This window comes from Homo sapiens, chromosome 11, assembly GCF_000001405.40.
Source record: "Homo sapiens chromosome 11, GRCh38.p14 Primary Assembly".
Classification (NCBI taxonomy): domain Eukaryota; kingdom Metazoa; phylum Chordata; class Mammalia; order Primates; family Hominidae; genus Homo; species Homo sapiens.
In genome coordinates this window covers 48,026,306-48,039,270 of record NC_000011.10, presented here as the reverse complement: position 1 = coordinate 48,039,270, position 12,965 = coordinate 48,026,306, and the positions used below count along the sequence as shown (strand labels likewise).

Genomic DNA, 12,965 nt, shown 5'->3' with positions numbered 1-12,965 from the left:
GGATTAAAGAAATAGTGTTAAGGATTAAAGAAATAGTGTGCATAAAGCAGTTAGCAGCATAGCAAGTGCTCAAAAAAATGAGGGTTGTTACCAATAGTCTTTTTCTTTTTTTTTTTTTTTTGAGACAGACTCTCGCTCTGTCACCCAGGCTGGAGTGCAGTGGTATGATCTCAGCTCACTGCAACCTCTGCCTCCCAGGTTCAGGTGATTCTCCTGCCTCAGCCTCCCAAGTAGCTGGGACTACAGGCACCCGCCACCACACCCAGCTAATTTTTGTATTTTTAGTAGAGACGGGGGTTTCACCATGTTGGCCAGGCTGGTCTCGAACTCCTGACCTCAAGTGATCCACTTGCCTCAGCCTCCCAAAGTGCTGGGATTACAGGCATGAGTCACCACACCTGGTCAGTCTTTTTTTTTTTTTTTTTAGAGTAAAGTGATAGCAAGTTTATTAGGAAAGTAAAGGGATAAAGAATGGCTACTCCACCGGGCACCATGGCTTATGTCTGTAATCCCAGCACTTTGGGAGGCCAAGGTGGGTGGATCACGAGGTCAGGAGTTCAAGAACAGCCTGGCTAATATGGTGAAACCCCGTCTCTACTAAAAATACAAAAATTAGCCAGGCATGGTGGCGTGCGCCTGTAGACCCAGCTACTCAGGAAGCTGAGGCAGAAGATTCACTTGAATCCGGGAGGCGGAGGTTGCAGTGAGCTGAGATCATGCCACTGCACTCCAGCCTGGGTGACAGAGCGAGACTCCATCTCAAAAAAAAAAGAATGGCTACTCCATAGGCAGAGCTGCCTGTTATCAGTAGTCTTAAAGATGAAACCATCATGTAACTGATCAGAAAAAAAACTCCAAAGTAAGGCTGTCCTCCCCAGTGATGCTGAAGGGAGGGAAACGCAGATTCTGTGTCTCATGCAGTAACCCGAGATCAGCATAGAAATTGCCAAGGGGAACAACTTCACTGCCAACACTCTTGACAGGAACTCTCACCACTGGAAGTATTAAGTTACGCCATGAACACTTGTTCACCAAGCATTTACTGAGCACTTACTACGTGCAAGGCAATGTGAGAGCCTACACTGCAGGAATGGCAGCCCAAGACCAGCTCTTGTCTTCAAGTAGATGAATCAAAAGACATGCACACAAATAACCGTAATACCAGATAGAAAAGCGCTCCATACAACAGACACAGAGAGCAGCAGACCAAGAGGCCAAACCATACACAGTATGTAAAATGATAAAGCAAAGAAGGATGATCTGAACTGAGCCTTGAAAAATGGACGGAATTTAGCAACGTGGAGGAAAGAGAAAGGCACAGCAAGCAGAGACAAGGGCACACGTGGACTCACGGAGGCCAGAAAGAACAGGAAGTGAAAAGGAGATGGCAGGTATGGGGTCAGCCTGTATAGGGCTGAAAAACTAGGTGTGTGGAATATATTTTTTTCTTTTTTTTTGAGGCAGAGTTTTGCTCTTGTTGCCCAGGCTGGAGTGCAATGGCACAATCCTGGCTCACTGCAACCTCTGCCTCCTGGGTTCAAGCGATTCTCCTGCCTCAGCCTCCTGAGTAGCTGGGATTACAGATGCCCATCACCACGCCCACCTAATTTTATGTATTTTTATTAGAGATGAGGTTTCACCATGTTGGCCAGGCTGGTCTCGAACTCCTGGACTCAAGTGATCCGCCCACCTCGGCCTCCCAAAATGCTGGGATTACAAGCGTGAGCCACCGCGCCTGGCCGTGTGTGGACTTTAATTCTAGCTCAGCAACATTCCATATGCTGCTTATTCCACAGGATTATCAGTAGGTATTCTGTGGGACTTACTGGCTTCCAGACAGACTCAAACAAGCTTCCTGACCACGGCATCTCTCTGAGCCTTCAAATGCTGTAAGCGCTTTGGCAATCTCATTATGAGGCTTTTCCCCAGTTTGACCAAGGACCACCCCCCACCCACCTCCTATTAAATCCTGGTTCTGAGAGAATACAGAATTTGGAAAAGACTCTTGAGTCAATCAGGGTTCTGCTTCAGAAAGTCTCTTTGATATATCATAAATATAGAAAATATGTTACTCTACTGACTAAAACTGCTAACTGATATTTCCAAATAGGAACTCCGAGGCACTCTACAAAAGTTCTGAATCGGGTGGATTAAGTTACACTCAATATGGCATCCAAACTATATTTTACGCTTTCCAGTGTAATTTTCTTCAACAATGTGATATTGTTTAACATATGATATCTGCATGTGCAAATATATGACAACGTGTGCTCATGTCAGGTAAAGCAGATGACTCTGATACAAGCTGACTTACCTGGTGCTGCTCCAGGGAATGGTTAACCACTGCCAAGTTAAAAAAAGAAAAAGCAGAAATACAATTCTGGAGCAAACCACCCTAGACTACCCAGGTGAGAAGCAGCTCACCGGTGTGGAGCAGTATCTGCCTGGTTTCTCTGGGAGAGTTCTAGAATTCTGATAGGTAAAAAAGACAGGAGAACTCACATCAGTATAAAGAGCGCTGGATTTGAAGGCAGACAGATCTGGCTTTAAATCCTCACTTTCTCTTAAGCTCATATTCTCAGTGAACTCATTTCTAGGAATCTCTCCTAGGCTAATTGCCAATATACATGACTTACAACAGCAAAAGAAGAAAAAACCAGGATTCGACCTAAACATCCCAAAATGGTGGAGTAATAATATGTAGATATGATAAGGCCACCACTAAAAATCACTTTTCAAAAATTTTTAAATAATATTAACAATTACATTTACAACCCACGTAACATTGAAAGGGATTTAAAAAATACGACTTTAAACCTGATACCAGTGACATGAAATTTACAGAAAAAGAAATGAGAGAAAGGAATGCAAGAAGGTGACAATCAGGAGCAATTCAAGAAGAGCAGAGCACTGGAAACTCTGCAGTTAAAACAAAGCTGAGAAGTCAATGGCATGCAACCCGAGAGGGCCTGCCTCAGCTCTGGGACAGACTCCCTTGGAGGCTGTGCTGGGAATGCCAAGAAGGGGCAGAACAGAGATAGACTCTTCTATCTGTTTCAGCCAAGATGTAGGTCAGTGTGTCATTTCTTCAAAGAGGTGAGTCAGGATCAGAAGAGATGAGAATTCAAAGGCAGAAGAGACAAGAGCTAAATTAAAGAGGCCCCTCTAGAGAGTCCAGCATTCCCCTAAGACTTCAATCTTCATGCTATTTTTTACCCAGCTATTGACTGAGAAGAATGCACTATTAAGTAGACCATGTCTCCCCTTCTCCCACTGTCCTATAAATTGGTCCTGTGTTTCCCAACCCCAAATGGGGTAGTAACTCATGGAGAACAAAATGCCAGTAGTACAGATATAGAACATGGGTTAAAAACTATTCTGATCAAACCCCCAGCAAGAATCTTGAAGAGGAAGACAGAGGGGGAAGAAAGCAATAGGCTTACTCTCCCTACAACTTAATTCCATGCTCTAATTCAGAGCAGTATAATTAACCCCGAGTTTCACTGCTAACACTGAAGTTTTTCAGCCTGATGAGAATATCATTTAGTATCCTGCAATCGCCAATAATAGCAATATGACACAATGGTGCCCATTGAGGCTCTAATCAGAGCACATAGTCATTTACATAGAACATTTTCTGTGACTCTCTGTAATACAACGCCACAAAGACTCAATTGAGACACAAGTCTCCCTTTCCCATAAACTAAAAAAAAAAAAAAAAAAAAAAAAAAAGAAGAAGAAAGAAAAAAGAAAAGAAAGAAACCACAATTTCCTTTCCAGGAGAGCACAGATGGTCCCCACCCATCATCCCGGGGGCTCACCAGGCCCAGGCTCTTCACTACAAACAGCTCATCCCGATGCTGACAAGAAACTAGACACTTGCACATTACCGTGTATGTATACATCTGCCTAATCTCTTCTCACAAGAAAAGGAGATCTGCGGTGCTTTAGGAAAGCCCTAGGCTTAAAATGGAGCAAGGGACATGGAGGGGCTCAGGTCGATTAACAGCTTTCAAAGCCAAGCTCTGACTCTGCTGGCCTCCCTGGGGTGGCTCATGTGGCCTCACAGTCAGGCCCGGAGAAATGGGAGCCACTGTCCTGTCATGACACAACTGGGTGCCATGGGCCACAAAGTGAGTCTAAAAGGAGGTAGCCAGGTGCCGTGAATCACCAGGGAAGGAACATGTGACAGCCTTGGAGGACGGCCACTGTGCTGAGGAAATAGCAGGATTCGGAAGCCAGACAAACTCGAGTTTGAATTCTGGCTCCACTCCTCAGCTTTGGACTTCAAGCAAGTTACTCAATTCTCTGAGCCTTCATTTCCTCCTCTGTAAAACGGGCTCTTAATATCTTGCGGGGATGAAGATTCTCATTCGTGCATCTGAAATACACAACACAGTGCACAGCATATAAAGCACAACAATTACCAGTATGGCCATCGCCATTGTTCTTCAGTAGAGATTGATGGGAAAACCGACAGGCCTTGGAGTATAATGGTGAAGAACCTAGAACATGGAGCCAGGCTCCCCCAGTTCAAATCCTAGCTCTACTGCTTGTTAGTTGGGTGACCTTATTTAACTGTCTGTGCCTGTTTTCTTGCCTGCAAAATGAGCAAAATAATAGTACCTACCTCCTAGGGCTGCTGTGAGGACTAAACAAGTAATATGTACAAAGCTTTATACAGTATATGCAAGTGAGTGCAATAGAGCACCAGGCACTATTCTAATGATTTATTATACAAATAAAAATAAGATGAATCAATAAAGGACCTGGGGAATAGAGGTATCCTTTAACACAATCAAAGCAACAGTTCCTAGTATCTATAGTATGCTTTCATAGCCACTATGTTATTTAATCTTCTAATGGAAACCCAAGAAAAACAGAATCCCATGATGTAAAACTGAGACCTAAATTCTAAGAAAGGCCTGAGAGCCCTCCTTTCTTAAAGGTTTCCTTTAAAATAAAAGAAAAAAAAAGGCCCTGGTTAAAGGGAAGCACCAAATGAATAACCACTTGTTCTTTTTCTAGCTCAAGTCTTTGCCTATCCAGCCAAGTTCTTCTCAACACAGCACATCCTCCCCACGTGCCATCTCGAGGAGATGGTCAGTGCAAAGGCCAGAGCCAACATCTAGCACCAGAACAGCATGGGCCAAAGGACAGGAAAAGGGAGACTTGGGCCAAGTTTACAGGTTACTTTCCACCCAAGTGAGAAGGACTCCACTCAGCAACTGTTAACAGTGTCAGCACCTGGAGTTCAGACTAGAAGCTCTTGTAAGTTCCTGTTCCTCACATGCCCCAGTTTGCCTTGGAAAGAAGAAGCCTTTTAGGAAGTGAAGCGTTTGCTGAACAGTCAGCTGGTTACTATAGGTCAAACGCTCTGTATCTGCTAATCCAATCCAATCCCAAAAGATCCACAAAGACTTCCGGTAGGTGTCTTCCTAGTTCCCGCCTTGGATCACAGGTGGTCCAAACAGCTCCTCTTGGTCCTCCTTCACAATCTTCAAATCCCCTGAAGGGCCATCATTGTGGGTACCACCTACCATCACAACTATCCAGGCCAGATCTCAAGTACAGGCTCACCGATCAATGATCGACTGTCTTCCTCTCCACTGCTCCCTGTCTCATCATTCTGAGGGATTTCCACACCCACACAGTTAATCCATCCCATAGCACACGTTTGGAGCAGCTCAGTGGCTTATCCTTGGTCACTATGCGCAGATACAGATTAGATGTCAACAAGATGAACAGGTACTTGTATCCCAGGAACATCCGCTGAGCCTGGACACATGCACCACCTGGCCAGTCCCATCCTCTCACATGACGGTGATCTTACCCCGTCCCACAGCTTCAAAAAGCTGATTTCTCTCAAACTTACAATTCCAGCCTTCATGTCCTCCCTCAGCTCCGGGCTCCTGGTTCCTGCAGACTGCTCAGCATCTCCAAGCAGGTATCTCAAGCTCAGACTCCAAAATCCACCCCACCCCACTCCACCCCCAGCTCATTCCACTTCCCACCAAGCTGATCCTTGCTATTCCAGAAAGATGCCAGTGAGTCTTCCAGGCCTTTGCACCAGCTGTTTCCTATGGCCCCCCACCAGGAGGGGCTTTCCTTGGAAAATAGCACCCATCCCCTCAACACGCTGTATTCCCTTACCCTATGTCACTTCTTTCACAGCCCTGAAGTCTACCTGATGTTAGACTTGTTTTTTTTTTTTTAATAGAGACGGAGTCTCACTATGTTGCCCAAGCCGATCTTGAACTTCTGGGCTCAAGTGATCTCCCCACCTCGGCTTCCCAAAGTGCTAAGATTACAGGCGTGAGCCACTGCACCCAGCCTACACTTTTGTTTCTATATTTGTCTCTCTTCCACCAAACGTAAGCTCCATGAAACAGGGAACTTGGTCTGTTTGGGGCATATCCCCAGTGTTTGGAACAAACTGTGTTGAATAAATTGTGCACGCTGAATGAATGAATTAGATTTGGGGTTTTTTGTTGTTTTTGTTTTGTTTTTTGAGATGGAGTTTTGCTCTTGTTGCCCAGGATGGAGTGCAATGGCATGATCTTGGCTCACTGCAACCTCCGCCTCCCAGATTCAAGCAATTCTCCTGCTTCAGCCTCCCGAGTAGCTGGGATTACAGGCATGTGCCACCACGCCCGACTAATTCTGTATTTTTAGTAGAGATGGGGTTTCTCCTTGTTGGTCAGGCTGGTCTTGAACTCCTGACCTCAGGCGATCCACCCACCTCTGCCTCCACCTCCCAAAGTGCTGGGATTATAGGCGTGAGCCACCGCACCCGGCCTAGATTTGTTAACTAAATAGAAGCCAAGGTAGCAAAGAGAAAGTCAGCAAACAAAATCACATCTGAGGCCTAACTTGAAAGTTCTTAAGAAGTATTGAAGCCCAACTGAGAAGTCCTCTGTAGCCGCTCAGCTGTCAGAGTTGGGTTAGGCTTCTCAGCTTCTCTCTTCTCCCTTCCCCCATTGATGTTGTGTTTCATAAGGTTTTGAAACCAACAGTACATTGAAGTCCAGAGCTGAGGGATGAGCATTTCACAAAAAAAGGGAACTAGGCTAGGGGAAGCAACCTGGCAGGGGGCAGGAAAAGACACACTGAGAACTGAGTCACCCTCTGCCACCAGCCCCATGTAGCCAGCTGGACGCAGTAGCAGCAGCAGCAGCAAAGGTCACTCACTGAGCCTGGACAGAGCACTGGGCACTGGGCTGGACACTGCCTGCAGTTACTTCATTTCATCCTCATCAACCCTATGATACAGTCACAGGGACACTGCCTTTCATATGATGCTAAGCTCTAACGTTGACGGGGGTGGGGAGGGTGCATAAGCAAAATAACCCTTGAAATGTACCAACATAAGCATTCACTGGCAAAGGACACACCATCCCCCAAGCCCCAACACTGGAACTTACTAAGTAAAATAATGGGTTAGTGGCTTGCATTCAGGAGCCACGCTATATGCAAATTACATGCTTAAGTCACACTCTCCGTAGCAGAATAAGAATAAGCACACCATGAGAGGCACCAGGAGACCACAAGAAAGACTAGATGCATGTTGCCAATCCTGCATTCCCTCTGAGCCAAATCTGTACATACAGCAGTAAGGAGCGCAGCCAGGATCCGACCCTGTGTGTTGAGCCAGACTCAGGCTGGACCACACAGGCCTTTGCATCCAAGTGCTTCATCCCGCGATGTGATCCCACCCCATTTTGCATGACCCCAATCTTACATGGATGCTTCCCACGTGCCTGCTGGAAGCACCTCAGCCACATAAAGTATTCATCATCTGTATCATGCTTTGGAATCCAGTAGGGCCTTCCACAGCACCAACTTGGCTAAGCCTCACTGCAGTCCCATAAGGGTTGTCATTCCCCATCTTACTGATGTGGAAAGCTCAGAGAGCCAAGAGACTTTACTGAGTCCCAGGAGAGGACAGACCAGAACTGACCCAGGTCTTCTGACACCAGGGTCTGGGCTCATTCTATAAGCCAACAGAATTTACCTTCTGCTCCTGTGCTAGTTGAACTTTGACTCTGCTTTTCCAAGTTTCCTGCATCCTCATTCTACCATTTATTAAAAAAATAAAAATAACAAAAGATGAGGCTAGGAATCTATTCACCAAGAATCTAACAGGCAATGGTCACCATGCAGAACAATTAGGTGGCTCTTTGGTTAGAGGTGAGCAGAGGAGTAGAAAGGCAGCCAGTTTACAAAGTTCTACAATCTGTTTCAGTACTTTGAAAACACTGCTTGCTGCCCATATCCATAACATCCAGTCTCTTCCTCCTCCTTAGTAAAAGGACCCTTGTTCTGAATTTTATACATATTGTATCTGGGACTAAGAGACTATACTTCTCAGCCTCCCTTGCAGCTCAGTGTGTGCATCTGACTGAGTTATGACCAATGAGATAAGCAGAAGTGTTCCATGGAACTTCCCAGGAACGCTGCTCAGAGAGAGCTGATGCAGCAGGAAAGGCCTCCTCTTTATTATTTTATTTATTTATTTATTTATTTTTGAGACAGAGTCTCGCTCTGTTGCCCAGGCTGCAGTGCAGTGGCACAATCTCGGCTCACTGCAACCTCCACCTCCCAGGTTCAAGCGATCCTCCTGCCTCAGCTCCCCTAGTAGCTGGGATTACAGGCACACACCACCATGCCCGGCTAAATTTTGTATTTCTAGTAGAGATGGTGTTTCGCCATGCTGGCCAGGCTGGTCTCGAACTCCTGACCTCAGGTGACCCACCGCGCCCAGCTGAAAGGCCTCCTCTTGATCTGTGCCTTTCCTCCTTCTGCCAACATATGACTCAGACAAGGGGGATGGAGCCCCAGCAGCCATCATGGACTGTGAGGTGACCTAGATCCTGAAAGCCATGTGTAAGCAGGTAGAATATGACAGCCTGGGGCCTCTAAGAGCCCTAAACTACTACCTCTAACTAATTTCTATGTGAGAGAGAAATAAAACTTTACATCACTTAAGCCTCCGTTAACTGACTATAAATCTGATTTGTTGCTGTTGTTATACACAGCTAAAGTTAATCCTAAGTAACATAAGCCCAAAGCAAAAATAAAATACCAACATGACCCTGCCCCCACTTCTTAATCCCAACCAACTCCATAAAAGACAAAACATCTGTCCAGATAAAAATCCAACATTCCTACAAATTAATCTGTTTTACATTTGAATGTCCAGAATTTCTTATACTATCTCTATCACTGGCTCCAGAGAACATACAATCAAGATACTAAGCCTTTTTCTAATTAAGATAAAAATTTCCCCCTGTCTTACCGGAGGCACTCATCAGGGGCCTTTGTGAGTCCAGTGGTGGGAGGGTGTGGAAAGCAAGCTAAGGTTCCTACATGGAAGGGAGTGGGGGCCAACTAGAACTTCAAGTAGAAAACAGTACTGTTCATCTTTACTATTTTCCTTCTTTCTCTTACGCAGCTAAAGATATGTTTAGCAAACACAAACTGTGCCGACCCACTATAGCCTTGAGGCGGGAAAGGGATTCAGTCTATCCTCCTCAAAAAAAACCCATAAATCTAACCTCAGTGCTTTTACTATAATTACAAAAGACCGCTAAAGAAATCCTGGATATACAAAAAAGAAGAAAAAAGCTCTATGAGCACCCTTTATATATGCATAGGATTTGGAGAATTTCATACCAACTAACTTAATCCACATTAAATAAAAAATAACAATAATATGAGTTAAGTTTTATTACTGTCCTGTAACATATAAGAGATGCGGGTTTGAAGAGGTTAAAGGATTTGCTGTAGATCACATGACTAGTGAGACATTCTTCCTGTTAAAGGAATTGGGAGGGGAAGAGAGAAAAGGGAACAAGTAATTCTCCCTGTTTTCCTTCTGCCTTTCTGTATGATATGAATTTTATGTAACATGTAAATGCATTACCTTGATCATTTCATTTTTTCCCTCTAGCAAAATCATAGTTATTATTCATGGCTCTGAAAAGGGAAAAGTAATTGAACCAATATGCAATGACATCAAAAGAGCTAAGCAATGAACACAGGTGTAAGAGGCTCACCTGACCCAAGAAGATGAGCCCACATCCTCCAGGCATGGGTATCAACGCCGAATGAGGCTGTGCGGGCAGGACCTCATCCACTGCACTCCCGGCAGCATCTGCAGCCCTCAGCAGAGGGCCTGCACCCCACACTGCAGGCCTAGGGCCAATGTTGTGCTCAAAACCACTGCACAACACAGGGACAACCTGTGTCACACAGCACATACTACCAGAAAACGGTCTGAAACCATACAGTGACAATTTACTTCAGATTCACTTCCAAACCATCTTTCATTTTCAGGGGTCCTAACTTGTAGCTTTAACCTCTTTCTCCACTACGGATCTAAACAAAGGCTGCAAACTGGTGGGCTACAGGCTGAATCAGGCTTGCAGACGTGTTTGATTCACCCACACAAGGTTTTTTGTTTGTTTGTTTGCTTTTGAGACGGAGTTTCACTCTTGTTGCCCAGGCTGGAGTGCAGTGGCACAATCTCTGCTTACTGCAACCTCTGCCTCCTGGGTTCAAGCAATTCTCCTGCCTCAGCCTCCTAAGTAGCTGGGATTATGGGTGCCCGCCACCACACCTGGCTAATTTTTGTATTTTTAGTAGAGACGGGGTTTCACCACGTTGGCCAGGCTGGTCTCAAACTCCTGACCTCAGGTGAGCCACCCACCTCAGCCTCCCAAAGTGCTGGGATTACAGGTGTGAGCCACCACGCCCAGCAGCTTAACCTTTTGTTAAGGATTCTGGGCTGGGCTGTGGCCAGTCTACTCTCCTACCACAGAAGAGTAAAATGCCCTGCACCCAGCCCACACAAGGTTTTAAAACAAATCTAAGCCTACTTTAGCAGTGATGAGATTTCCCATGAAATGCCAAGATTTCCAGATTTCATGAAGAACTGCATGATGGGCTACCTTGGGTCCACATTCTCAGGCTGCCCATGAGGAGAGAGGACAGTGTGGATTAGGGGGACAGGTAGTGCTCTGCAAGCCATGTCACTCTTCAGTCCTATATCTCCACTGTCAGAGAAACGTCTTTCAGTGTCCATGCCTCTGTGAAAAGCACAAAACAGAACAACAAACCAAGACGGCCTTATGTTTCAAGAAAGGTGAGACCACTTATGGCTCAGTAGTAGCTAAGATGTTTCCTTTATCTCTAATATGCAAGCCCCATGCAACTGGGAAGAAATACTATTAACACTGGATGCCTTTTTCTTTCACTAGAGGAGCCTCCTTCACTTCCACTCACTGCCTGGACCCTGGAAGCATCTGGACCCTGGAAGCATCTGGACCCTGGATGCAGGCAAACTTGGGACCTAAGAGCTCTCCGAAGCAGTTTTGTGGGGAAAAAGAAACAAACCTGACAATACTGCAGCCTTCCCTGGAGAGCAGACAGGCCCTGCACTGAAGATTTTTTTTTTTTTTTTTTTTTTTTTTTTTTTGGAGACAGAGTCTCACTCTGTTGCCCAGGCCAGAGTGCAGTGGCATGATCTCTGCTCACTGCACCTCCACCTGCCAGGTTCAAACAATTCTCCCGCCTCAGCCTCCTGAGCAGCTGGAACTACAGGCATGTGCCACCATGCCCAGCTAATTTTTTGTATTTTTAGTAGAGACAGGGTTTCATCACACTGGCCGGGCTGGTCTCGAACTCCTGACCTCAGGTGATCCACCTGCCTCAGCCTCCCAAAGTGCTGGGATTACAGGCGTGAGTCACTGCACCCAGACGACACTGAAGTTTTATTGTGTTGGGGAACAGGGAGGGGATTCAGTTCCACCTTATTAGCAACAATACGGAGATTCTAGCCCCATCCATATCAGGACCAAGTTGTTCATCTTGCATGATGGCCCTCCCTTTTATGGGAAGACTCTATATCCTGGGTTCTTACCCATCCTCAGCCCTTTCTGGCTATATTTTAAGGGTATTCCGGGCCGGGCGCGGTGGCTCATGCCTGTAATCCCAGCACTTTGGGAGGCCGAGGCATGCGGATGACAAGGTCAGGAGATCAAGACCATCCTGGCTAACACGGTGAAACCCCATCTCTATTAAAAATACAAAAAAAAATTAGCTGGGCGCGGTGGCAGGTGCTTGCAGTCCCAGCTACCCTGGAGGCTGAGGCAGGAGAATGGCGTGAACCTGGGAGGCAGAGCTTGCAGTGAGCTGAGATCGCGCCACTGCAATCCAGCCTGGGCAACAAAGCGAGACGCCGTCTCAAAAAAAAAAAAAAAAAAAAAAAAAAGGGTATTCCAAGACCCATCCAAATCAGGCCATTGTCATGGAGCCTTATTTCAAACCTTGAAAAGGGCCCTTTAAAAAGCCTTCCCTCTCATGCAAAGGCATTAAGAATGACACAGTGGACTTCGGGGACTCAGAGGGAAAGGGTGGGAAGCAGGTGAGGGATAAAAGGCCACAAATTGGGTTCAGTGTATACTGCTCAGGTGATGGGTGCACCAAAATCTCACAAATCACCACTAAAGAACCTACTCATGGCCAGGCACGGTGGCTCACACCTGTAATCCCAGCACTTTGGGAGGCTAAGGCAGGCGGATCACAAGGTCAGGAGATGGAGACCATCCTGGCTAACACAGTGAAACCCTATGTCTACTAAAAATACAAAAATTAGCTGGGCATGGTGGCGGGCGCCTGTAATCCCAGCTACTTGGGAGGCAGAGGTTGCGGTGAGCCAAGATCGCACCATTGCACTCCAGCCTGGGCAATAAGAGCGAAACTCCGTCTCAAAAAAAAAAAAAAAGTCCTAACATTCAAGTCAAGCCCCAGTGAGGCTCATGGCCACAGCAGGAAGACAGCAGGATACTGCCTTTCCAAGTCAGAGATAGGGTTTTAGGTATTGCCTTGGGCTGAAAGAGAGCTGGATCCAGCTTTACCTGCTCCTCTCACACCCTCTGTTCCAGCCAACTGCCCCTTTCCCA

At 46.1% G+C, this 12,965-nt stretch overlaps 1 protein-coding gene across 4 annotated transcripts in view, besides 2 other annotated features; it reads right to left on the bottom strand.

The window, feature by feature from the left end:
• The window catches only part of PTPRJ (protein tyrosine phosphatase receptor type J), a 190,281-nt gene that overhangs the window by 131,569 nt on the left and 45,747 nt on the right, over positions 1-12,965 (bottom strand). The window lies entirely within an intron of this gene.
• Positions 7,525-7,594: a silencer, noted in NCBI's record as "silent region_3342". NCBI's record gives its function as "represses an Ori minimal core promoter by ATAC-STARR-seq in GM12878 lymphoblastoid cells {active_cell/tissue: GM12878}" and the evidence as "EXISTENCE:reporter gene assay evidence [ECO:0000049][PMID:35858748]".
• Positions 10,117-10,691: an enhancer, noted in NCBI's record as "H3K4me1 hESC enhancer chr11:48050132-48050706 (GRCh37/hg19 assembly coordinates)". NCBI's record gives its function as "activates a minimal SCP1, AML or CMV promoter by ChIP-STARR-seq in primed H9 embryonic stem cells {active_cell/tissue: H9 hESC(primed)}" and the evidence as "EXISTENCE:reporter gene assay evidence [ECO:0000049][PMID:30033119]".